We start from the raw sequence: 25,866 nt of genomic DNA, 5'->3' as shown, positions 1-25,866 counted from the left end.
GGAGCTGAGATTCTGCATTTTTAAAAAGTTCCCAGGTGATGCCCATGGTAGTGGTGGGGGCCAGGCTCTGAGTAGCGATTCATGGCATTTACAGTATTTTTACTAGAGAACGAGGAGAATTCAATGGAGTCAATGAGTTTTCACTACAGACATTTATCTTCAAGATCCTTAAAGCTGCACGTTGTGTTAAAAGATGCCCAAGCTCTCAACGCCACATGCTAAGTGGCCATCCTGAGAAATAATAACCTAGAGCTTGACTTTATTTTTTATTTTTTTGGGACAGAGTCTCAGCTCACTGCAACCTCCACTCTCGGGTTCAAGCGATTCTCATGCCTCAGCCTCTCCAGTAGCATGTACCACCACGCCTGGCTAATTTTTGTATTTTTAGTAGAGATGGGGTTTCACCATGTTGGCCAGGCTGATCTCAAACTCCTGACCTCAAGTGATCTGCCTACCTCGGCCTCCCAAAGTGCTGGGATTTATAGGCATGAGCCACCACACTTGGCCCAGTTGCTTCTATTTGTATGTTTCAAGCAGATGGAGAGGCTGTCACAAGAGATAGCAGAACCGGATTTTTTGTTTTGCTTTTCAAGTCAAATTTTATTTTATTTTTTACTATTTATTTATTTTTAGAGACAGAATCTTGCTCTGTTGCCCAGGCTGGAGTGCAGTGGCACAATCATAGCTTGCTGCAGCCTCGAACTTCTGGACTCAAGTGATCTTCCTGCCTCAGCCTCCTGAGTAGCTAGGACTACAGGTATGTGCCACCATGCCCAGCTAATTCTTTTTTTTTTTTTTTTTTGAGACGGAGTCTCACTCTGTCACCCAGGCTGGAGTGCAGTGGCGTGATCTCGGCTCACTGCAAGCTCCGCCTCCCGGGTTCACGCCATTCTCCTGCCTCAGCCTCCCCATGCCCAGCTAATTTTTAAGTTTTTTGTAGAGATAGGGTCTTACTATATTGCCCAGGCTCCTGTTGAACTCCTGGCCTCAAGCGATCCTCCCATTGCAGCCTCACAAAGTGCTAGGATTACAGGTGTGAGCCAACACACCTAGTCTCGAATTTTAAATCTAAATATCTCTTTATGTCAAACTTTCAAACTTAGGGGAACCCTAACCCTGAGATAATCTCATAGAACCTCAAGTGACTCCCCAAAGCCCTACTGGCTATGGATATACATGGTGGTCCTGTCTCATGCCCTGGGAGGAACACGAGGGAGGCCTGATGCCCAAGCCCCATCACAGCCCGAGGACTATCAGGCTACACAGAATAAGAACACTGACTGCTATGAGATGTCTTTCCCTAAAGAGGGTGGTCTCCAGGAGATGACAGCATGGTGAAGGTGACAGAATTTACTGTGGCAACTTGCTGAGCTGTTGAGAGGGCAGCAGGAAGAAACACTTACCTGAAAGAGATTTTGGAATGGTTAGAAGACTTTCATGCACCAACGGATCGTCAGCTGCATTAACCAGCATGAGAGGAACATAAATCTGCAACAAGAACATAAAGCAGAATTAAACTACTGATTCCCATTTTCAGACCCCATCGATTCAAGGCTCAAACTCACTGCTGGACATGTTTTTGAAGCAAAGGGAAGAGGGTCACAGCTCAGCTTGCTGAACAGGTACAGGAAGGACGCCTTGTATTCTCTGGCAGTGTGATGAGTTACATCTGCCATTGTGATTACTGCCCTGAAAGCAGGAGTGTGTAGAAGAAAGCTTCCTGATAATCATCAGAGTGTTTCAGATTAGCCACTCCTTTTAGGAAATGACTTTGCAATGAATTATGTACATATTCATTCAGTTTATATCATGGGAGCGGAAAATGAAGTGCACTCCATACCAGACAAAAGAGATTCTACAGGAATCTAGGCCAAGGCTGGGCACAGTGGTTCGTGCCTGTAATCCCAGCACTTTGGGAGGCCAAGGTGGGAGGACTGCTTGAGCCCACAAGTTTGAGACCAGCCTGGGAAACATAGTGAGACCCACAGCCCAGTCTCTATTTGTTAAAACAAACACAAAAACAAAAATAGAACAAATCAAAAGAATCTAGGTCAGGCTTATGGCTTATGCCTATAGTTCTAGCTACTCAGGAAGCTGAGGCAGGAGGATCACTTGAGGCCAGGATTTCAGAGCTGTGGTGAACTATGATCATGCCACCGCACTCTAGCCTGGGAAACAGAGCAAGACCCTGTCTCTTTAAAAAAAAAAAAAAAGAAAAGAAAAAGAATCTGAAGGTTGAAAACAGGAATAGGCTGGTGGATATTGGAAAACCGTTGGCAGGGTTGCATTCAACATCCACTTTACTAAAACAGCCAATAGCCTTCTTTTTCATTTTAGTGGAGATGGTACTGATAGGGAGACTCAGATGTCACTGAACAGCCATAATGAGGCAGTGAATGATTGTGGTATCCTGTAGGTCTCTGATGTTGGCTCTAGACAGCTCAACATTCCTACAATGGCTTAAATGACGACATCAAAAAGCCTGATGATGCTAAACTAGGAGAGATGGCTGATAAGACAGCACAACTACAGTTTCCAGTGATCTGCTTTAGCCAGGGGAATGATGGGCCAAACCTACAGGTGGACATTGACAAGGATAAATGGGAAGTCCTGTGTTTGGATAAATAGGGCAATAAATTGTGCAAAGACAGAATGAGAGGGACTGGCTTGTTGGTCATTCAGGTAAAACAAACATATGGAGATTTTGGTTGGCCACAAACTTAATCACACAAAGTTTATTGTAGCTGCTAAAAGTTGCATTAATACAAACAAGTCTACCTTATCAACAGACATCTCAGCTGGGCATGGTGTCTCACGCCTGTAATCCCAGCATTTTGGGAGGCTGAGGCAGGCAGATCACGAGGTGAGGAGTTGGAGACCAGCCTGACCAACATGGTGAAACCCCATCTCTACTAAAAATACAAAAATTAGCCAGGCGTGGTGGCACATGCCTGTAATCCCAGCTACTCAGGAGGCTGAGGCAGGAGAATTGCTTGAACCTGGGAAGGTGGAGATTGCAGTGAGCAGAGATTGCGCCACTGCACTCCAGCCTGGGCGACAGAGCGAGACTCCATCTCAAAAAAAAAAAAAAAAAAGAAAAAAATAGACATGCTCATCATTACTTTGATACAGAAACACATCAGTTTTACTCTGTGCTTACCAGATCATGGCAGGAATTTTGAGTTCAGTCTTAGGCACTATGGTAACAAAATACAGAATGGCCAAAAGAGGGTCCCGGATGGTAAGAAATCTAGACAGATCTCACTGATCTGGCAGAAACCAGACAGGATTATACTGTCAAAGGAAGACTAAGAAAAAAGTGGGTGTTGGAGCACTTTTAAAGGCCCTCACACAGACATGGGAGCACACCAGTCTAAGGGGCAGCTCTGGGATTAATGTATGGCAGTTACAGAGGGACAGAGCCTGGTTCAATAAACAAATCCAAGCTAAAAGAGCGGTTGGAGCCAGATTCCAGCTGAGCTTCCACCAGGAAAATTCAGGAGAGGTATCTGTCGTATTGTGTGCGAGGCTGGGTGGAGTGATGCTGATTCTGAGCCCGTGATGGCCACTCACCCTGTGCAGGTACCGCATGCAACTTTCTTCCTCATAGTATTCCTTCAGGGAGTTATAGCCGTGAAACTTCCTGCAACACACCAGAAAAAGAAAAAAAGAAAAAGGACAAAACATTGGTCTTTAAGATCAGAATGCTGAGCCGACGATGGCTCCAGTTCCTCACGCTAACTTGTGGCATTGGTAGAGTAGACAGAGGCAGGAGCTAGGCCTGAATGCTGAGCTGATTTTATGACTGTTCCAGATCCTGCACTAACTCATCATATCAATGAAATGTATGCAGGTAGCAAGGTTCAGGGTTAAGAGCACTGGCTTTGGCATTGGGGTTCAAATCCTGCTTCGGTTATTTACTGGCTATGTGACCTTGGGCAAATGGTTCAACTTATCTGAGCCTCAGCTTCTCCTGTATAAAATGAATCTGAAGACAGGGCCTTCCTCAATGGAACTGTGAGACTTATGATGTTCAAGTGCTTACTAGCATCATGACCGACCCAGAGTAATTACCCTGTAGTAATTGTTATCTATAGTAATTATTAGTGTATGTTACATCTCTTGTGGCAGTATAAAACCAGATGTCACTATAGATATGGAGAAACTGAAATTCAAGGACATTTACTGGAACTTTCCTTTTAACAGAGTTCTTAGTGGAGTAACAGGACCACCGTGAATTGGAATAAAATATGTATTAGGTAACAGAAATGAGACCGTCATTCAAAGTTACCAATTCTGTCCCTTTATCTCTGACTACTGCTCCGATCTCTGACTACAGAGCAATAGAGATAAACTGGCATGTAACAAAACCTTCAGTGCTCAGCATGAATGAGGGGCCGCAGCTCTGCTCTGCTCTGCTCCGTGCTCCCAGAGGCCCCTCAAGGTTCAATCTGGAGCTCCGACACCAGGAGGCCTAGGCCAGAAGATCTCAAAACCTCTTTCTGACACAGATTAGGGCCTCTGGCTTCTGAATGGTGGGTCTTCCTGTTTTGACTAGGGTCTTTAAGCTATCCTTCCTCCCCCAAAGCTGTGGATCTCATTAGACATCTCTGCCTGGGAATGGCCTGGAAAGCTCAGGCTGGACTAGTAGGGCCCTCTTGACAGGGTGGAGGCCAAGTGTAGAGATCATCTCTAAGATGCCTGTCCTTGTGAAATCAGTTCGTTTGCAGTCTCAGCAGGCAGGAAATGCATTGTTCCATCCCTCCAGTATTACTGGGATGGATCTCTGAGGAAGCCACCAAGACTGGTTATGATCATAAAACTGCTATTTTCCAACGCTATTAAAGAGGAAAGACTTTAGAGAGTGTTGAGAAACATTCTCTTCTGGGCTTAAAAAATTTAGGAGATGAATGGGAAATTTAATTTGTTTTTTCTTACCACACACCGCAATACAGTCACACACTTCATCTGAAGTGAGGGTGGGTAAGATTCATTTTTCACCTTCTGAACATACCAGCAATTTCCTAGTTTTCATTTCCTTTGAGAAACTGTTAGCAGGCATATTTCAACGTTACTTGGTGTAAGAAGGCTACTAAAATCTCATAAGGAAGCAAAGCAGAGATCCTATACCCTTAGGTCAATATCTGCCTATCTATTAGATGAAGAATAATTGCTTGCTTTAAGCTACATCTAAAAATATCAAATAATTTATTTTTTATATTTTAGGGACAGGGCCTTGCTCTGTTGCCCAGGCTGGGCTCCAGTGCAGTGTTGGGACCATAGCTCACTGTAATCTCAAACTTATGAGCTCAAGTGATCCTCCTGTCTCAGCCTCCTAAGCAGCTGGGACTACAGGTGTGTGCCACTATGCCCGGCTATTTTTATTTTTCAATTTTTTTTTGTAGAGACAGGGACTTGCTATGTTGCCCAGGCTGGTCTCAAACTCCTTGCCTCATGTGATCCTCCAGCCTCAGCCTCCCCAAGTGCTGGAATTACAGGCATGAGCCACTGTTCCTGGCCTCAAATGATTGTTAAATGAAAAGGATCACGTATTTAAAGAGAATGATGAGATCAGAGGTCAACTTTTCCTTTTTCAGCTGAGGCTAACCTCAATCAGAAACTACTGGAACCAGGAAAGAGGCCACTGTCAAGGCTGCAACCTCAGGTGCCTGGAGGAGAGAGGCAGATAAAGAGTAGATGAATGAAGTGGGCAGTATTTGTGTCTCACACTCAGAGTGGAGTCACCATGCCCCAAAGTAAGAGGCTCTGTCCATTTTGCTTGAAACACATAGTCCTCTTGGTCTATCTTCTGTTTTTCTACTTCTTTTTTTTTTTTTTTAATTTTGAGAAGGGTCTTGCTGTGTCACCCTGGCTGGAGTGCAATGGCATGAACATGGCTCACTGCAGCTTCAACCTCCTGGGCTCAAGCGATCTTTCCCCCATGACCTCCCAAATCCTCCTAGGATTACAGGCATGAGACACTGCCCCCAGCCAGTTTTTCTACTCTTGTTAGAGACACAGAGAAGTACAAGAAGTATTTCTTTTGCCTTTTACTCCACTGCGAAATGCAGATTTATGTGGCACCTGACACTTGCCCTGGTGTTGAGGCAGGACAGGTAGGGTGAAGACTGCCCATGCTAGGGCCTGCACGCCCCAGCTCCTTGAATCAAGCTAACTATGCTTTGTAGGAATGCAGAATGAGTGGTCGGATCCTTTTCCTATTTTCCAGGAGAAACTAGAAATTTAAATGTTCCTGTGAAATCTTCTGTTTTTAAGCACTAGACACTTACTTAAAGGGAAAAAAACACCCTTAACACTCAAGTAGGCAGAGCAAACACTAGTGCTGGGCACAGCTGACCTGCAGCCTCCTGCCTGGCACCCTGCCCCAGAGCGTCCCTCTCCCGCCTGCGCGGACACACCTCATCACATTGTCATCAATCTGCATCAGGGATGTTGCTGTGTAGAGCCGGCTCAAGTCCGTGTCTTCCAGGCTCTGGGGTTTCTTAACATGGTCTCCAAAAAGAGCTTGCCTAGAGCAAACACAAAAGCAAACAGAGATTAAGATGTGGAGGATGAACAACCATGGCATAGCCTGCTTCCTTGCCACAGCAAGCCAGGAGGGAGAGCCAACGTGGTCAGTTAGAAATAGAACCTTTAGCCTTTGGAATGTCCCAGAGGATGAGCTGGCGCTGTTAATGTCAAAACCTTATTTCCCTTTTCAGGGGTACCCAGACAAACTAAAGATTGGGTTTGAACCTAGTTGAATATTAAAAAACCTTCAGCACAGGGGAGGGGGGCTCAAGACGGGCCTTGTGGTGAGTGGTGGGCCATGGGCCAAGCCGTAGGGGCGTCGTCCTTACACTGTGTTGACAATGTCCCCCTTGGCAGAGACCCTTCCCCTTAATGAGCTGTTTGTGTTGCTTAACAAGGAAGACTCAGTGTGCAGGAAGGAGTGGAAAACAAACAAAAAGCGAGGAAGACAAGGGTTAACTCATTTAGCATTTGGGCAAACCAACAGCTCTCTAGTGTCTTAGATAAAAGCTAACATCTATTCAGGAGAGCAATCATTTTTTTTTTCCCAACCCCCAAGTGGAACCAGCATTTCTATTAAGAAAAAATCCATCTGGAGAGGATGACATTAGAGGTAGGGGTCACAACGTGCATTTTTGACCTCTCTTCCCAGCAAGGGCTCTCAGTCACACACCTGGAAGCGGACTGAATTTGTTGAGGCATGGCCCTGCGGTAGGAAGGATTTATTATGCCAACTTGGTATTCTGCGACTCATTCACAACCTCTCCAAAAGAAGAACACATTTCTGTAGCATTTATTTTTTTCAAAAGACTATTAGGAAGATTATATACCTACTGGATAGAATGTACAAATTCAAAGTTAACCTAAAATTTCCAAATGTTTGGCTTTCTGTAGTAAATTTGAAAAATGTGAATACTTAGAGTACACTCAAAGGACTCTCATAATTTGAACCTTCTAGACTAATTAGTAGCAAGACTGGGTCCTTTAGCAAAACAAATGTTTCCTGGGAGGAGTCACTTTTGACACCAGAGGTGTGGAAACGCAGACAGAGGACTTGGACTTGGTGTCAGAGGCCTGGATCCACCCCTTCTGGCTACAAAACATCTGCAATCTCCAGACCCATTCAAACTCAGCTGAGCTACACGCACCTCAGTGCCCAGCACACAGCTGAATCTCAAACAACATGAGCCAAGTGGGAACAGCTGATTTTCCAGCCAGCACAGGGGACATAAGTCTCCCTCTGCTCTCCTTCCAGACACGAGGACACAAGGACATGTTTGGCAACGTGGCAGCCTGATGGGGCCTTCAAGCCCAGCCTTGCTTAGGTGCCATGTGAACGCCCACCCGTAGGAAGCCCAATCTGGGGTGTGTGGTCTGCTTTAGCCACTGGAAAAAAGAGAACAAGAAATTGATCATTTAGTCAGATTGCTTTTTCTAGGGTGATACCAAAAATCCCCCAAATTTTTTTGAGCGAACGGGTGTGTCTCGGGTGCTGGGAGCAATCAACACATGCCTAAGCCCTCCAACGCTCTCCAGTTTGGTTCTAGACGTAGGATTTACAGAGGGGAAGCAAAAGAAAAGCAACTTGGGCATGGATGAGTTGGCTTCACAGAAGCAGGAGAATTGAGATGGACTTTAAAGGATGGGCTGAGTTCCCACCAGCAGAGAAACGGGAGAGTATTCTCAGCAAGGGCAGTAAGTAGTGTGGCAGAGGCCAGGGGACACAGGAACCTCTAAGTAGCCTAGTCCAGCTAGAGGGAATGAGAGGCGTAGAGGAGGAGGCAGAGATGTCAGCAATAATAATAATCATAATGAAAAAGTCATTGCTAATATTTATCTGGTGCTATGCATAACAGCACTGCTCTAAGCACTTGACAGGTTAACCCACCACAGGATTACGAGGCGGAGAGGCAGGACAAGCATGAAGAATAAGGAGAGGCTCAAACTCCGAGCAGGGAGGCGCCGAAACCATGCCCTGAGCCTCCTGTCCCGCTGCTGCTTGGTCAGAAGCCCAAGCGCCAGCCAAGAATGAGTCCTGATCCCCCAGGCACAGAAGCATCCTACAGGGAAGGTCTCCTCAACAATGACAGCCACCTCGTGACTGCTCTAATTTGGGAGAAAAGGGTGTGGAAGTGGTTCATTGTCTTAGATTTACTGGGAATTATAAAAGCATAAGGCAATTTGGCAAATTCAGTAGCTTGGGACAGGTTTCTTTTCTTTTTTTTCAGACAGGGTCTCGCTCTGTCACCCAGGCTGGGGTGCATTGGCGCAATCTTGGCTCGCTGCAGCCTCCGCCTCCTGGGTTCAAGCGACTCTCCTGCCTCAGCCTCCCAAGTAGCTGGGATTACAGCGGCACCATCATGCCCAGCTAATTTTTGTATTTTTGGTAGAGATGGGGTTTCGCCATGTTGGCCAGGCTGGTCTCAAATTCCTGGCCTCAAGCTATCTGCCCGCCTCAGCTTCCCAAAGTGCTGGGGTTACAGGCGTGAGCCACCGCGCCTGGCCAAGACAAGTTTGTTTCTAATCAAGTCACAAATGCAGGCAGCAGAGAGTCTGTACCACACCTGCATTTTTTTTTTTCCCCTGAAGGAACAGGAGTCCTGGCTTTTCACGGTTCCCAGATGAGCTCAGGAAGGAACTGTCTGTCTCCTGAGAGAGAACGGAAGGTGACCTACCTGTGCGAGAGGATGATCTTCTTCATGTTGTCAGCCATGAGGAAGTTGTAGAACCGCCGGCACTGATCCCATTGCATGAAGGTTTCCTGGGCCCTGGAAGAACCACAGCGAGTGAGGGTGACTGCGGTGTGGGGGTGCAGGCGGGCAGCCAGGAGGGGGCTCTAGCCATGGGGTGAGGTGCTTGTGTGGAGAGGGCCGGCTCTCAGGCTGTGGCCTCTGCATTAAAACAGAGGCTCTAATGTGCAGAGCTCAAACACCTGTGGAGAAATCTATGGAGACACCAAGACAGCGCAGGGGAAGGGGACCCCGGCAAAGGCCCTCTCTAGCGCCAGAGGCTTTGTTGGTGGCACCCCCGACACTCTCTTCTAGCACCTGGACCTTCTCTTAGTCACTGAGCCTGCCAGGACCAAAGTCTGCTTCAATTGTCATGTGAACACTTTCTGTATTTGGCTCCCTACCTGGCAGGCAAGTTTTCTGGTTTAATGACTGGCACATGGAACGGGAGAGTGGGTGTGGAGGGGAAAACCTAAAAAATCTTCTGTCATTGCTGATCAAGAGGTAAAGGAAAATCATTAACTGGGATCTCCTCCAAATACATCTATCTTTTGATTAGCCTTATACCATTGAAGAGGCAAGGAAATCGAAGTGGAAGTAGACAGGCCCTTAACCCTTTGTAGGCACAGCTGGTGGGGCTGGTCTGGAAGTGTCTTTCTGCCTCTAGGGCTAGTGTGTGACTGGCACACTAGTGTGTGGCTGTGAGGGCCACACTCTGACCCTTCAATGGCGGCAGTAGGCAGGTGATATTATCCCTGTTTTCCAGAGCCCAGGTTCTGCCAGCAGCACATGCAGAGGGAGGAGACAGCACCACCAGCCCTGGCCATGTGCTTCCCCAGCCAGATGTCCATGACCACACAGCAGGTGAACAAACACCAGTGGGCTCACTCCCACCAGCCATGCCTGCCCAGCCCTCCCCACTCACTGCTCTCCTCCCTTGGGCGTGAATCCAAACGCAGGCGGACACTGAGTCCACACTCATTACAGGGAAACTTTTATCTTGCACGTTTCAAAATCTCCAGGCCTGACTCCACCCTGTGAATGGATCTGGACGTCACTACTTCTACTAGGTTCCATCTTCCAGATGGTAAGTGAGGGGACCAGGTGGTTTGTAAGGTTTTTTGTTTTGTTTTTTATTATTTTTTCAATCCAGGGAGTTTATAAAAGTAATTTTATAAAAGTAATTTCCCCAAAGCTGCTACAATTTTAGAATGGCAAAATTCCACAGTTTTGGAGTGACAAACATTTCCCACAATGTCGTGGTTAAAAAATAAGAGGTAGTGGGGAGTTAAGAATGAAATGGTTTGTGAATTTAATGGTCTGCAATGTGCTCATCAAACACAGGCTAAGCTCAAGGTGAAGACTACCACCACCCTGAAGGGTCAAAAGGCCACTGCATAAATGTGCAGCCAACCCCCGCCCGACTCTAACCAAGCACTACAGGAAGAGTATAGGACCAGACCACCATGAGGGACCCCGGCTAAAGCAGGACTGTGCTCACCTGCCTGTGGTCAGAGGGAAGGGGGTCACCCAATCACCGAGCCACAACCAGCTGCCTCTCCTCTGACTTTGGATCCAAGCCACCCAGAGAGCCAGTGGTCTCTGGCAATCCCAGCTTTCTCTTACCCTGGTTCATTTCTCCCTTTGCTGACCTCCTAACTGAAGGGATGTTCTTGCTTTTGTTAGTACCTCCTTCATTGCAGACAGGCTGCAGAGGTAGGGAAGGGAGGAGGGTGTGGCCATAAACAAGATATAAAAAGATGCTGCAGCCCTTGATTTTTTTTTATTGAAAACACCACAGGCACTGCTTGTTGAAAGGTTCTAGGGATTCACAGGGACCCAGGGCTCAGGGAGGGATCAGGACAAGGATGCTGGGACCAGTATTCCACTGTTTATTTTGGCTAAGATTGAGTTTTAGTATCTTTGGTTTACCACTCAGTATATGTAGGGGATGTCTTTTACCTTTGGCTGTAGAATTAAGGAATTGAAACTTAAATTTATATTGCTTTAATAAAAGAATCAAGATCAATGTATTACATTCATCTCATATATATATATATATATATATATATATATATTTTTTTTTTTTTTTTTGAAAAGGACTGATGTCTTCAATACCAACAACAGCAAACTGAAAGGCAGTAAAAGAAAGGGTAACCTACAGACTAAAAGAAACATAGACAAATCAATAAATGCATATGTAGGCAGTATGTGGATCCTGATTCAAACCAGCCAACTGGCAAAATAAACAAACAAACAAACAAACAGCACTTCCATGAGACAATCAAGGAAATCTGGACACTGACTAGACATGGGATGCTATTAGGGAATTATTGCTAATTTTTTGGGTGATGATGGTATTTGTGGTTATGTTTAAGAAAAAGTCCTTAGAGTCTTTTAGAGCTACCTAGTGAACTACTTACAGATGAAATGATATCTGCAACTTGCTTTAAAAGAATGTAGTTTCTGAGGGAGGGGTTGAATGGATAGGTGTAGAGGAAACAAGATGGGGGTATGAATTCATGTTATTGGAGCTGGTAGTGGCTACACTGGGGTTCAATTTTAGATGCAAATCACAAAATGGGCACGAAACCAGGGGAGTTTAGCTCTCTAGACACTGCACAAATACCTTACTTGCCTATCCAAGTTCTTTTTTTGTTTTTGTTTCTTGAGATGGAGTCTCACTCTGTTGCTCAGGCTGGAGTGCAGTGGTGTGATCTCAGCTCACTGCAACCTCCACCTCCTGGGTTCAAGCGATTCTCCTGCTTCAGACTCCCGAGTAGCTGGGACTACAGGTGTGTGCCATCATGCCCAGATAATTTTTTGTATTTTTTTAGTAGAATACGGGGTTTCGTCATGTTGGCCAGGGTGGTCTAGAACTCCTGACCTCAAGTGATCTCTAGGTCTCGGCCTCCTTCCAAAGTGTTGGAATTACAGGCGTGAGGCACTTCACCTGGCCTGAATATCCAAGTTCTTGACTTGCCTCTAGATAGCTATGTTCTCCAGAAGAGAGAAGGGGTGGCAGGAACTGCTCCCCAGGCTGGGCCAGATATTGGTCCACCAGGATAAACTGGCTGAGGACACAGGAGAGAAGTGTGGAACCCTGGGAGGGGCAGCTCGGGCAGAATTACAGGGAGGGAATGGCTTTGCAAAATTCAGAGTGAATCTTGCTGGAAGGAGGGTAGGTTTCAAAACTTCAGAAAGAACCAGGATGACTCCAAAAGGAAAGATGCTTTCTGAAAGTTGCAAAACTCTCAAGAAGTGATAATCACAAATGAGAAGAGAAAATTAACCCCCAAACCCAGTATAGTTTCACTGGGAGTCTTTTTTGAGAATAATCCATAAGGATTTTTAAAGAACTTTGTCCATCCATTGATCTACCTATTACCAACATAAATAGAATTCCCTGAAAATGCCTTCATTTCTAATCAATGTAACATTAAATTATAATAAAATATGACCCATACTGGTTTCAAAGCCATTTTCTAGTGAGAGATTTCTCTTTGGACTGTTAAAAGAATTTTAAGAGGTGTTGCGGAAGGCAATGGATTTTAATCCCTCAGAAGAGGGTCCCAACAAACAGGCATTTACAATTAGGTTCAGAGCAATCACTTGGGCAAGGAAGAGCTGAGCCAACCATTATGCTGCTGGGGTAACTGCTTAGAGAAGGCTCAGCTTTCCAGTTCATATTTTGCAAAGTGAGTGGACCAAGTACTGATGAAAACGAATTAAAGTCAGAAGAGAATGAACTGGGGAAAGAATGCATCTAATGGTACCCAAGTGAATTCAGATCTCCTGGCTCAAATAAATTATGTCTCAGAGTGCTGAGAGACTATAAGAATAGTGAAACAGCTTTCCTGTGGTCTTTGAAAAAATATGGAGAATGAGAATGAGGTTCTGTAAGAGTGGGATGGGCAAGCATGACCTTAACACCCCAAAAAGGGAAAAAAGGCAAGGGCAGTATGAATTAAGATTGGAGATGAATTAATGGGATGTGGATGTAGACGATACTAAAAAAATACCTTGAAAGCAATATGCTAATGAAACCTTAAGAATAAAGTACATTAAGTACTTTCCCATAATGCTATCACACCGACCTAAGAAGTATTTTTACTTGTAGAAGGAGGGGATTTCTTTCCAGGTTTTGCCTATATACAGTCATATTTTTAAAAAATTATGATAAAAACACATAACATAAAATTTACCATCTTGTTTTTTTTTTTTTTTTTTTTTTGAGACAGAGTCTCGCTCTGTCCCCCAGGCTGGAGTGCAGTAATGGCATGATCTCGGCTCACTGCAACCTCCGCCTTCTGGGTTCAAGAGATTTTCCTGCCTCAGCCTCCTGAGTAGCTGGGATTACAGGTGCGCGCCACCACACCTGGCTAATTTTTGTATTTCTAGTAGAGGTGGTGTTTCACCATGTTGGTCAGGCTGGTCTCAAACTCCTGACCTTGTGATCCGCGTGCCTTGGCCTCCCAAAGTGCTGGGATTCCAGGCGTGAGCCACCGCACCCGGCCCTTCCCTACTTTTAATATATACATTCTGTCGTGTTATATATTTTTCTTGATTTTTTAAAATAAAAGCTGCCTCGTTTCCCACTGAGTTGGTATATTATTAATTTATTTAACTATCTCCCATGCTGGACATGTGGATTATTTCTAATTTGGGCACTGTAAGAGAGTAATCCTGCAGTGGGGGCAAAACCAGGACCAGCCCAGCCTGCAGAGAGAGGAAGAGGGCACGATCCTAGGCAGGCTGGCCAAGCCCAAGACAGGGCTCCTGCCTTGCACAGCCGGGCCTCTGGGAGGAGGGATGGTAGAGCCTCTGGACCCAAAAGACCCAGCCAGAAGGTTCTGGGCTGGTAGCAGGTTGCCCTTCAGGGGCAGAGTCAATCTGTAGAGAGGTCATCATCTCCAGCTAGTTCAGCTTGAGTGTGAGCAGAAGAAAACCATGTTTGTACCACACAAGGGAGTGGGCCAAGAGTTTTTGGTACCTGCCAGGCTGGGCTTTGTTAGTTCCACTGGGGTGGAAGGATGGGGCAGAAAGATGGACTTCAGACTAGAGTAGGGATGGCCACCTACCAAGCCCCTTTCTTCCTTATCAGAATCTTTTCCTTTTGCAGGATGTACTTTTACAGGAATGAGTTAGAGTCTCTCATTATACTGATAAAAAAAAAATTAACAACAACAAAAAAACCCACAAAAAGCCCCAAGGCACTAAGGGCAACCATGTGGTCAGGTCAACTTCACAACCCAGTGGTGGAAAAGCTGAGCTGTTTCCCAGGGTGAGGTTCCGTCCATAGAGTCTCATTTAAACGCTGCAGTTTCCCCCTCTTTGTTTGGCTGTGATTCAAAATTACTGATGGCACAAAGTTACTGTATTTTATAGCTCTTCAACTATAAAAACAAATTTTAGGAAAGTCCCAGTCTCTGGGGAAACTTTATGAATAATATTTGCTTTTGCCATAAACTCATCTCTAGCCTGAAGTTTGCCCATCAAAAGCAAGAGAGACAATATCCCCACCATTTGGCAGGAAAAGTGGTACCTGCCTCTTCCCCATGGCAGGAAGGCCTTGCTCAAAGAATGCTAGGATGTTCAGGTTTACCTGAACCAAGGAGGTCAGGTCTTAGTGATGTTAACACATCCACTTAGCCCGGAGTATAATGTGCCTTTAAGGAGATTTGAAACACTCCTCTGATAATTCCCCTACTGTCCTGTAAGGAAGCAGTCCTTGGGACTGGCTTTGTGGAAGACAATTTGTCCACAGCCTAGGGAAGGCAGGGGCAGGGGGATGGCTTCAGGATGATTCAAGCACATTACATTTATAATGTACTTTTTCCCTATTATTATTACATTATCATACAGAATGAAATAATTCTACAACTCACCATAACATAGAATCAGTGAGATCCCTGAGCTTATTTTCCTGCAACTAGACAGTCCCATCTGGGGGTGATGGGAGACAGCGACAGATCATCAGATATTAGATTCTCATAAGAAGATGCAAACTATCCCTCACATGCGCAGTTCACAATAAGGTTCATCCTCCTATGAGAATCTAATGTCACTGCTGATCTGACAGGAGGCGGAACTCAGGCAGTAATGTGATCAATGGGGAATGAGACTAAATACAGATGAAGGTTCACCCACTGCTTCCCTACTGCTTTGCCCACTGTGACCTGCCCACCGCTCACCTCCTGCTGTGCGGCCTGGTTCCTAACAGCAGTTGGGACCCCTGCTGTAAGGGGCTTCTGCCCCTGGCCTGGGCCCTGTGCTACTGTCCTCCTCACCCTCACCTCCTTCAGAAATCCCTCCTCATGGACCCCCCACTTGACTGAGGACCTCCTTGGCACCCATATGCCTAAATGTGTAATATCTTAGTAACATGTATTTGTTGCTTTGTGGCTTTGTAAATATCACTCTGCTGTCTTAAGTGCTGTGAGGTCCTCAGATACAGACTATCTTTTACACCCAAACTGCAATAAAATGCTTTTGTTTTAGTTTTATTATTACTGGTCAATTCTGTAACATAAGGTTGTTGAGGGCTTTCTTGGGAAAGAATTTATTTTACCTGAAACCAGACCAAAAATGCTTCTCTCCCCATTTTCTTTAAGCTCCATGAAGGCAGGGAATTAGTCAGCCTTGTTCAAGGCTGTGTCCCTGTTACCTAGGAGGATGTCTCACCACACAGAGTCCCCAGGCGGGTTGGCAGCTGTTTATGCTGAGGGAACATGTTAAAGTCTGCCGGATACCAGGTGATTTCAGGGCATCTGTGTCCCTCCTTCAGTGGTTCAGCACATTTAGGTAGAAGGTGAGCTAGTTTAGCAGCAGCTAGACTTTGCTAACTACAGCAAGCGGGTGGCTGGCTTCTCTCTGAGCCTTCAACCGGCTCTGGCTAGATGGGAGGTGAGCTACGGGAGGAGAAGCCAGAGGGAGGGGTTCACTGAGGAAGCGGGTCTCCAGACTCAGCTAGGAGAGATTTACCAGACGCATGAACTCTCGTGTGGCCCCTGCAGAGGCAGACGGGCCTCCCCGGCTCCACCTTGGTGTGATGGGAAGCACTTATGCAGCTGCCACCATCCCAGTGCTGAAAGGCTCATCGCCCTCAAGCCTTGGCAGGAAAAAAAAAGGTTATACTGGTTTAAAGTAAGGAACTGTGCTCCATTTATTCCATAGATCTGGTTTAAATGTTGAGGGTACCTGAGCCTTGGACCAGCACACACAAGGACAACAGTGTCTCTCTGACCTGGTGCCAGTTCCCATATGCAGGACCACATGATCTTAGCCTGGGCAAGTTAGTTCTCTGTGCTCCAGACAATAAAGTTGCAACTTGCTCTTTGTTGCATGAGGTTGGTGTGCCAATAGTTAGTTATGTGTATGAAGCCCTCTGAGGTCTCAAGGAAGAGGCTGTGTAGGCTATGTCTGCAAAATGTATAGCACCTCACAGATTTTAGTTTTCTAGCTTCTTGAGCCTTCTTTGCCTTAGTTCAAACACCTTAGCTTGCTGCGTCAATCATGTGCTCTTGCTGACAGCAGATGGCGCTACTGCAGCAAAATGAGATGAAGGGATTGTCGTGTTAAGATTTTGTGCATTGAAAAAAAAGAAAACAAAACAAACGTCCTAGTTCTGCTCCCTTGGATCCTGGGGTAGGCCCCTTGCTCATGTCTTTCTTATCCCAGTGACTGGGCCCGACAGGACTTTGGTTAATTCTGGTTACACGTGGCTATGAGCTGGGAGTTGGATATTACTAGTCCCACCAAGATAAAGGCACATGTCCTCTCAGCTGACTCCCCAGTGTCCAGAGGAGTGAAGGAAAAGATTCCTGGTAGGAAGATGGGGGACTAGCCTGGTCCTGGAACGCGAGAGCAGCTGGAGAGACCACTGAGGTCACTAACCCCGGGGACTGCTAAACGTAACTAAACTGAAAACTCGCCTATGAAATGTATCCAAAATGCAGACTTCTGAGGTCCCATGCCTCCAACTTCATGAATCAAAATCTCCAAGGGTGGGGCCCAAGAAACAGAATTTCTTTCTAACATGATCCTCCAAGTGATTCCTTATGAAGTGAGGCAGTCACTAGTTCACTGGACCGGTCTTTGTGATCCGCCGATCGAACCCACCTCCTTCATTTTACAGTGAATGACGATGATGACGATAATGAAAATGAACAGTGGCTTACGTTCTGCGTGCTGGGCACTGTTCTAAGCACTTCACACGCATCAACTCATTTGACTCTCAGCGGTGCTATGAGGTAGGTACTGCTTATCATCATCATCCCCATATTGCCGGCACGGAAAAATAGAACCCAGACCTTGGTCCTGGGACTCAGGAAGGGTTTCATCAGAGATGTTTCTCATGTCTATCGTGGGTACATTTAGATCACCTTTTTCAGCCAGCTTTAAGCCTCATAGGGAGAGGCTGAATCCTGGGCCCACATGTGTCTTTTGGGTGTGCTGGCTTTAAATTCCAGTAATATGTATTTTTAGAAATAATATAGATGGCCTCTATCCATCAGAAAGTAACAAGGTATGTTTAAACTGCAGCATGAGATATACAGGTGAGGCAAAAAGATTCTTTGAATAACGATAAGGACTGTTTGGCATTAGACTGGATCAATAGGGAGGTGTTTTTAAACTTTCCCGTGTGTTTCAAATTTTTTCATCAGATTTTTAATAACTGGTTATACTCATTGGTAAAACGAAAGACACCATGAAGAGTACAGAAAAAAATATGAATGTATTTGAAGAGCCTGGAGAGGTGTGTGTATAGTGTGAGTGTGTGCATGTGTGTGTGAACGTGTGAGTGTGGTGACTCTTGAGAGACCTGGGACAGCAGTGATCTTCAGGGGAATCGGGGCAGATGACCACGCCCTCCTGGGACTCATCCTGTGGGGCATCTACTGGCAAGAGACTAAGGGGTGGGAGAAAGCTTGACCCAGTAGATCAGCTCCTTTGTGATGATGCCTGGGATGCCTGACAGAGACAAATACTTAAAGGTGAGGACACTGATTAAATGATTTCTACAGATCCCTTCCAGATGCCATCTGGGACTCATCTCTTGCAGGAAGGAGGGATCTGGGATCCCAAGGCCCAGCTTTCAGATCCCAGCTTGCCAGTCTCCTGTGCTCTTTCATTAATCCACGTTTCTATAAAAACTCCTGAAGCCTGAACAAATTAAGTCACCTGACAGAGATTCCCTAGGAGACAGCAACTATCAAAGGGGGTTTTACTTCTCCAATTACAGATCTGACCCCAAAACGCAGCTGCATATCCCAGGCTTAAGGGGTCTGATGGGGCATCTCCAATGTATGATATGCAGACAAAACAAGGTGAGTCCAAGACTCAGAAACTTCTACTCAGTCGGCCACAGTGTTCCCCGGTCTTCACAGAACAGTGTGTTGTGCGTCGGGGCATCTCTATAAATAAGGGCTAACTGAAGGCCCTGATGGAAGGCGGAGATGACTCACCTCAGTGCACTGTACCCCTGGCACACGCTGACGCAGCACAGGACCTTCTCTTGGTTTGCCTGAGTCTCCCCCAAGTATTTGCACACAATGTTACCACCCAGGCTGAAGCCCACGACGACCAGCTGGGTCAGGGGATATGTCTTCTTGATGTAGTTCACCATGGCTCCAAATTCCCACGTGCAGCCTGTGGGCAAAAGGGTGAGATTGCTCAATCATTTCAGGTGCATCCTATCTGGAGAAAATGCAAGCTGGAACGTTACTAAATGGGTGCCAGTATACTAAAAGAGAGAGAAATATATATGTGTATATATACGTGTGTGTGTCGGGGGATGTGTGTGGAGAGAGAGACAGACACTGCTCTTTGGCTATCCAGACAGAAGTTCCCAGATGCCCCTTGGGATAAGAGGAAACAGGGCCTCAGCAGTGCCAAAGCGTGGAGGTACCATGTATCAAATGTACAATGCTTCTTAAAAGGTAGGTCACAAGAACCGTGTCTAGATAATCATGGATATCAAAGCAGATTTCAGGGTGTGCATGAGCACATATGCTCACACACAGACCTAAATAAAAGCTAGGCCAGCCTGGACAAAATGGTGAGACCCCACCTCTACACACTACAGGTGTGTCCTTGTAGTCCCCGCTACTTAGGAGGCTGAGGCAAGAGGATCCCTTGAGCCGGGGAGGCAGAGGCTACAGTGAGCCAAGATCGCATCACTGCACTCCAGCCTGGGTGACAGAGTGAGACCCTGTCTCAAAAAAATAAAATAAGTAAATAAATAAATAAATGCAAGAGCAAAATCCTTTGAGATTAGCTTCCTAGGCTACAAATTGGGATGCTATACCCATGTGTATGATGATTCATGGTGTTAAGAAAAGTAGCAAGTGGATGTTATTTACAGAATCTTCTTGACAGAGTTGGAAAGGAGAGGAAAGATAAACTTCAGTCCAGAGGGACTGCCAGGATGCTCTGTAGGATTAGGGTAAAACGTTCTTGGTGACATAGGGACAGGGTGCCAAGGGAGGCAGGCTCATTCAAAAATACACAGATGAGACCTCTTAACAGAGAGGGTTGTTTGGGCCTCATTTGCCCAGGAGAGATGATCTCAGCTGGTGTCCCCTTGGGAAGTTATTGAAGCCATGTTATGTCTCAGCAGCTTTGCTAAGAGGAGGAGGTGAATGGCCATATTACAAGTGAAGGGATTCATCACATCCTTCTAAGGCCCAACCTCAAACTCTGTAGGGAGCCAATTTAAAATCTAACATGGAAAGATAGGGATGTCGACGCAAAGCACATACAAAATAGACTGGCATGAGAAGAGTACGGATTTACAATGGAAACGGGAGTTGTTGACTTTGGCACCAGCTCAGAGGTTTTGGCATTCTTAATAGAGTTGAACAGCTCCTTCCCTAATCATCAAGCCATGGGGGAAAGTATCTTTTGAGCCTGGGGTAAACTCCCCTTATATCTGTCTTCTTTTGTGGTAGGATGTAGCCTAAGCCAGGCCGGCACAGCCCCATGCAGTTCTTAAGCTGCAGTGTGCATAGAATCACCTGGAGAGGGTGTTAGAAATGACCATTCCTGGGCCTCAACTCCAGAGAAGCTGATTCTGTAAGATGGGGACCAAGCCCAGGAATCTATAGTGACTTTGTTTTTGAGTAGGTAATTCATGCCCATGGTAGAAAATTCAAATGCTGTAAAAGATGGAGTGAAAGGTAAGTTTCCTATATTCTTTTTAAAAATACCAGTGGTAACATACACATTGTTCGGTGGCTCTTTTTTTCCCTTTACAATATGTCTGGCAATATTATGCATCAATACACTTGAAACTGCCCTATTCTTTTTTATTTTTAATGGGGTATAACATACATACAGGAAAATGCACAATCAATGAAATTTTACACATTTATACCCAGGTAAGCATTGCCCAGATGAAGACGCAGAATATTTTTGACACCCCTGGAGGCCTCCTCATGCCTCTTCCCAGACAGTATCCCCTATACTTTTGACTAATAATCATGATCTGGAAATGCTGGGGGCTTAGAAGGAGCTTAAGCAAGAGATGCCTAAAACTAAGGGAAAAACCGGGCCAAGAGCTGCTTCCTCCCAAACAGCAGGACCCAGGCACCAACTTTGAGAAGGCAGCCCGTCTCCCTCTCCAGTGAGATAGTAGAGGATCAAGCTGCTTATTTTTCTCCCTCTTACACTCAGCAGAGGCTGGGGCAGTTTGCAGGCCTTCAATAAAGAGTTGCTGAATTGAGTGGATTCTGATGACAAGGCCTCTGAATGGGCCCTGAGGACAGGGAAGGAACAAAAACCTGGTCCAGAAGGATCCTTGAACTCTTAACTTTGGAATGTGAAATGCCAGACTGTTGTCCCCACCGAAGTCAGATTCATTCAAGTTTCTTTTTGTTCGTTTGTTTTTGAGACAGAGTCTCGCTCTGTCACCCAGGCTGGAGTGCAGTGGCACAATCTTGGCTCACTACAACCTCTGCCTCTCAGGTTCAAGCGATCCTCCTGCCTCAGCCCCCTGAGTAGCTGGGGTTACAGGCATGTGCCACCATGTCCAGCTAATTTTTGTATTTTTAGTAGAGACAGGGTTTTGTCTTGTTGGCCAGTCTGGTCTTGAACTCCTGACCTCAGGTGATCTGCCTGCCTCCGCCTCCCAAAGTGCTGGGATTACAGGCATGAGCCACTGCCCTGGCCAAGTTTCTCTTTTTAAGAAGGTAGCAATGGAAGGAATATTATGCCTCCAGGGAATGCTGGATTTCAAAATGTAGCTGTGATATAAAAAAGGGGATGTGCAAACAAACAGCTGAGAGCACAATGAGCAATTAGCTGATATCAGCTTCTACACCACGCAACAAATAAAAAATTTAGAAATCCCAAAGGAGACATTTGTTCACCTCCCTTGGGCCATAACAGGCACTGAAAACCAGGCCTTAAAGGAGCAGCCTGGCCTCATGGCTAAGTGAAAAGGCCCTGTGGCCAGACTGCTTGGGCCTACCACTTAGTGGCCCCAAATGTTCTCAATTTCTCTTTGATGACAAGTAACCCCCGTATACAGGGAAAATCTTCAGCTTCCAGGCTCCTTTCTGGAGGCTTAGAACCTACAGGAATAGGATGAGGCCTGGGAATGGGAACTTTCAACAAACAGCCCAGACAATTTTTGTAGTGAGGAAACTGTGCAAAATACCGTTACCTTGGGTAAGTTACCAAACTCTCCTAGGTCTGTTTCATCATCTGTAAAATGGAAGTAACAAGAGTAAAGACTTCGTAGAGTTGTTTAGAGATGTGAATAAAGTGATATACATAAACAGCTTAGATCAGGGTCCAGAGCATAATAAGCATTCAATGTTAATGGCTATAACTGACTCTAATTATTTTCTCTTTTAAAAATATGTAAGTATACCCATGTTTATAGCAGCATTATTCACAATAGCCAAAAAGTGGAACCAACCCAAGTGTGCCTTGATGGATGAATGGATAAGAGCAATGTGGTACATGTGTACAATGCAATATTATTCAGCTTTAAAAGGGAAGGACATCCCGTCACATGCTACAGCATGGAAGAACCTTGAGGACATTATGCTACATGAAGTAAACCACTCACAAAAGGACAAATACTGTAGGATCCTACTTATGTGACATACCTGGACTAGTAAAATTTACAGATGGAAAATAGAATGGTGGTTGCCAGGGGCTAGGGAGTTGTTGTTTAATGGGTATAGTTTTAGTTTTGCAAGATGAAAAAATTCTGGAGATTGGCTGCAAAACAATCAATATACTTAACACTACTGAACTGTACACTTAAAAATGGTTAGGATGAAATTTTGTTATGTACATTTTATCACAATTAAAAATATATTTAAACAAGAGTGTAGCTGATCTAAAATTTAGGGTTTTCTCTAAAGTAGTGTTCTTCAACCTGATTGCACATTAGAATCACCTGGGGATTTTTTTTAAAAAAAAAGCAGGAAAAATATTTATTATAGGGTATTAAATGGCTTACTGAATCATTGAGAGAGTTAAAGAAATAGCCTCAAAGCCAAACACCTGGGGAGCTTCTAAAACACCCATACTAATGCCTGGGGCCTCCCCAGCTTCATTAAGTCAGAACGTCTGGGGGTGGGATCTGGCCATGGGTGTTCTTCTACAAGATCCTCAGGTGCAACCACTGTGGCTGTGGCGCACTGCTCTAAGGAACGAGGCTCTCTCCAGCTCAGACCAATGCGAGAAGGCATTTTTTTGAAGCACTCTCTCATCTCTGGGCCACCCCTTTTCAGACTCCCTTTCCTTTCTACTTGCAGTAAACAACCTTCACAGATGGGGGCGCTGCTTAGCCTTTCGGAAGCTTAGCCTGGTAGCAGTTTTCCAAACATTTCCTCAAAGCAAGGTTTCCACAGGTAGCACATCGCCGTTCAACACAACCAGGCGCTTCCTGTAGATCCACTAATACCTAACAAACAGAAAATTTAAATGCCTTTAAATCCATGTAACTGCTTTCTGGTAATCTTTCTTGTAAAGAGTGAATTGGAAAAGCTGCACGGAGGTTATATATTACTGCAAGAATGATGCTCTAGCTCAGTGGTTCTCAGAGTGTGGCCCCTGAGCAAGCAGCATCAGCATTGCCTGGGAACTGGTTCAAATGCACATTCTTGGACCTCACCCCAAACCCACGGAATCAGAAACTCAAGGGGCTCAATGAGCTTGCAGGACCTCACCTCCAGAGATTCTGATTCCACTGGTCTGGGTGGGCTGAGAAGTTGCTTTTCTAACAAGTTCTCAGGTGATGCTGACGTTGTTGGTCCAGAGACCACACTTTGAGAACCATTGTCCTAGTTGACAGAAAAGCTGGATGAAATCTTTTCTTTTTTCTTTTGGAGATGGAGTTTTGCTCGTTGCCCAGGCTGGAGTGCAGTGGTGCGATCTTGACTCACTGCAACCTCTGCCTCCCGGGTTCAAACGATTCTCCTGCCTCAGCCTCGTGAGTAGCTGGGATTACAGGCGCCCACCACCACGCCGGGCTAATTTTTGTATTTTTAGTAGAGGCGGGGCTTCACCATGTTGGCCAGGCTGGTCTTGAACTCCTGACCTTGTGATCCGCCCCCCTCGGCCTCCCAAAGTGCTGGGATTACAGGTGTGAGCCACCGCGCCCGGCCTCTTTTGTCTTTTAAAAGTGCAGCTCGAAAAGATGCTTCATGTCACTCATTGTTAAATAGATGCAAGTTAAAATGACACTTAGAAATCATTTTCCACTGCCCATGTTAGAAAAGATGAAGTTTGCCAATACCCAGGACTGGAAGAAGTGTGGGTAACAGGCCCTCTGGTCCATCCACTGTTGAGGGAGTACACATTGGTATAGGCCTTGGAAGGCAATGTGGTAACATCTGTTCATGTTTTTTAAAGTACAAACCTTTGGTCTAGTAATTCTGCCTTTGGGGACTTTATACTGCATATGTATGTAAACATGTACATGCAAGAATGTTCACTGCAGCATTTTGGTGTTTGTAGCAGCAAAGGTTTGGAAACAACCTAAATTTCCATCAGTAGAGGACTGGTTAAATGAAGGACTACACTGTGGTGAAAAAGGATGAATCTGGCCGGGCGCGGTGGCTGATGCTTGTAATCCCAGCACTTTGGGAGGCTGAGGCGGGTGGATCATTTGAGTTCAGGAGTTCAAGACCAGCCTGGCCAACATGGTGAAACCCTGTCTCTGCTAAAAATACAAAAATTATCCAGGCAGTGGTGACACGTGCCTGTAGTCCCAGCTACTTGGGAGGCTGAGGTGGGAGAATCGCTTGAGCCTGGGAAGGGAGGTTGCAGTGAGCCAAGATTGTGCCACTACACTCCAGTCTGAGTGACAGAGTGAGACCCCGTCTCCAAAAAAAAAAAAAAAAAAAAAAAAAAAAAAAAAGAATCTGATCTGACATGGAATGGCTCTGAGCCATCTTAAGGGATAAAAACAAGGGGTGAAACAGTGGGGCTGGCACCCTCTCCCGTGTTTGCTTGGGTTTTAAGGGATTACATACACACATATCTGACTGAATATTCACTGGGAAATTGCAGCAGATATTGATTTCCTGGGGAGAAAAACTGGGGGTCTAGGGTAGGAAAAAGATCTAGTTTCACTCATTGTATGTAGCCTTTGGCACAGTTTGACTGTTTTTCTCATGTGTATTTATTTCTTTTTAAATATGAATCTAACCAGTTTTAAAATCTAGCAAAAAAATAAGGGAAAAAAAGATGTTTACATTTCCTCAGGCCAGTTTCGACAATGCTAAAGACACCCAACATATCACTCATGCTGGAGCAATGGTTTGTGCTGGGGACATTATTTGCCTGCCTAAGAAATAGTACTGAGAAACTTATTTTAAATTGTTATTAAATATTTACTTCTCCACCGCTTCCTAAGGTTTCTGCCTAATTTTGTCATCTCTTAGCTAACTATATCTTTATGTTTGGTTCCAACATTGAATGAGACTCTATTAGATTATAAACTCCATGAAGCAAAGATATTCTTGCTCTTGTTCACCACTGTATCTGTGAGGCCAGATACTTGGTGGGCACTCAATCAGTGTTACCTAAATGAATGGATGAAACAACAGATGTACAGTGTTCAGCCTCTCTTCTAGGAACTTAAACACAGACAAGGAAGCAGATTTAAAGACATGAAATGACTTGTCCACCCTCACATAATGAGTAGGGCCATGTCTACTCATGACCGTGTCTACTCAAAGTCCAACGCTAGACTTTGGACCATGTCAACCCCAAAGCCCAAGCCCCTTGCCTTATATCACAAATCTACTTAGGTAATAGTACTCCAGAGATTTATGCTTCAATTATTAAACATCTTACTCCCCCCAACCATTTGATTCCTTTTATTATTTTTATTCTTATTTTTTTGAGACGGTCTCGCTCTGTCTCCCTAGGCTGGAGTACAGTGGCATGATCATGGCTCACTGCAGCCTTGACCTCCCCAAGCTCAAGACGTCCTTCCACCTTAGCCTCTTGAGTAGCTGGGACTATAGGCACATGCCACCAAACCCAGCTAATTTCTGATTTTTTGTAGAGATGGGCGAACTTGCCTGGGAGGTTCCACTATGTTGCCCAGGCTGGTCTCGAACTTCTGAGCTCAAGA

General features: G+C 45.4%; 1 protein-coding gene across 15 annotated transcripts in view, besides 1 other annotated feature; it reads right to left on the bottom strand.

Annotated features, from left to right (window-relative positions):
• ABHD2 (abhydrolase domain containing 2, acylglycerol lipase) overlaps positions 1-25,866 on the bottom strand; it is a 161,358-nt gene that overhangs the window by 7,633 nt on the left and 127,859 nt on the right. For 14 of the 15 annotated variants that reach the window (NM_001416423.1, NM_001416424.1, NM_007011.8 and 11 more), the window contains 5 exons: positions 18,728-18,911; positions 9,207-9,299; positions 6,420-6,530; positions 3,574-3,643; positions 1,404-1,488 (listed from right to left, as the gene is read on the bottom strand). In NM_001416423.1, the coding sequence (NP_001403352.1) occupies positions 1,404-1,488; positions 3,574-3,643; positions 6,420-6,530; positions 9,207-9,299; positions 18,728-18,911 (543 nt within the window). Of the gene's footprint in view, positions 1-572; positions 1,489-3,573; positions 3,644-6,419; positions 6,531-9,206; positions 9,300-18,727; positions 18,912-25,866 lie in introns of those variants that run through there. The other variant, NM_001416421.1, reaches the window with a different exon arrangement.
• Positions 16,651-16,945: a silencer, noted in NCBI's record as "tiled region #3557; HepG2 Repressive DNase matched - State 12:CtcfO, and K562 Repressive DNase unmatched - State 25:Art". NCBI's record gives its function as "represses a minimal TATA promoter and a strong SV40 promoter by Sharpr-MPRA in HepG2 and K562 cells {active_cell/tissue: HepG2 | K562}" and the evidence as "EXISTENCE:reporter gene assay evidence [ECO:0000049][PMID:27701403]".

This window comes from Homo sapiens, chromosome 15, assembly GCF_000001405.40.
Source record: "Homo sapiens chromosome 15, GRCh38.p14 Primary Assembly".
Lineage (NCBI taxonomy): Eukaryota > Metazoa > Chordata > Mammalia > Primates > Hominidae > Homo > Homo sapiens.
This window is presented reverse-complemented; position numbering and strand designations above follow the sequence as displayed.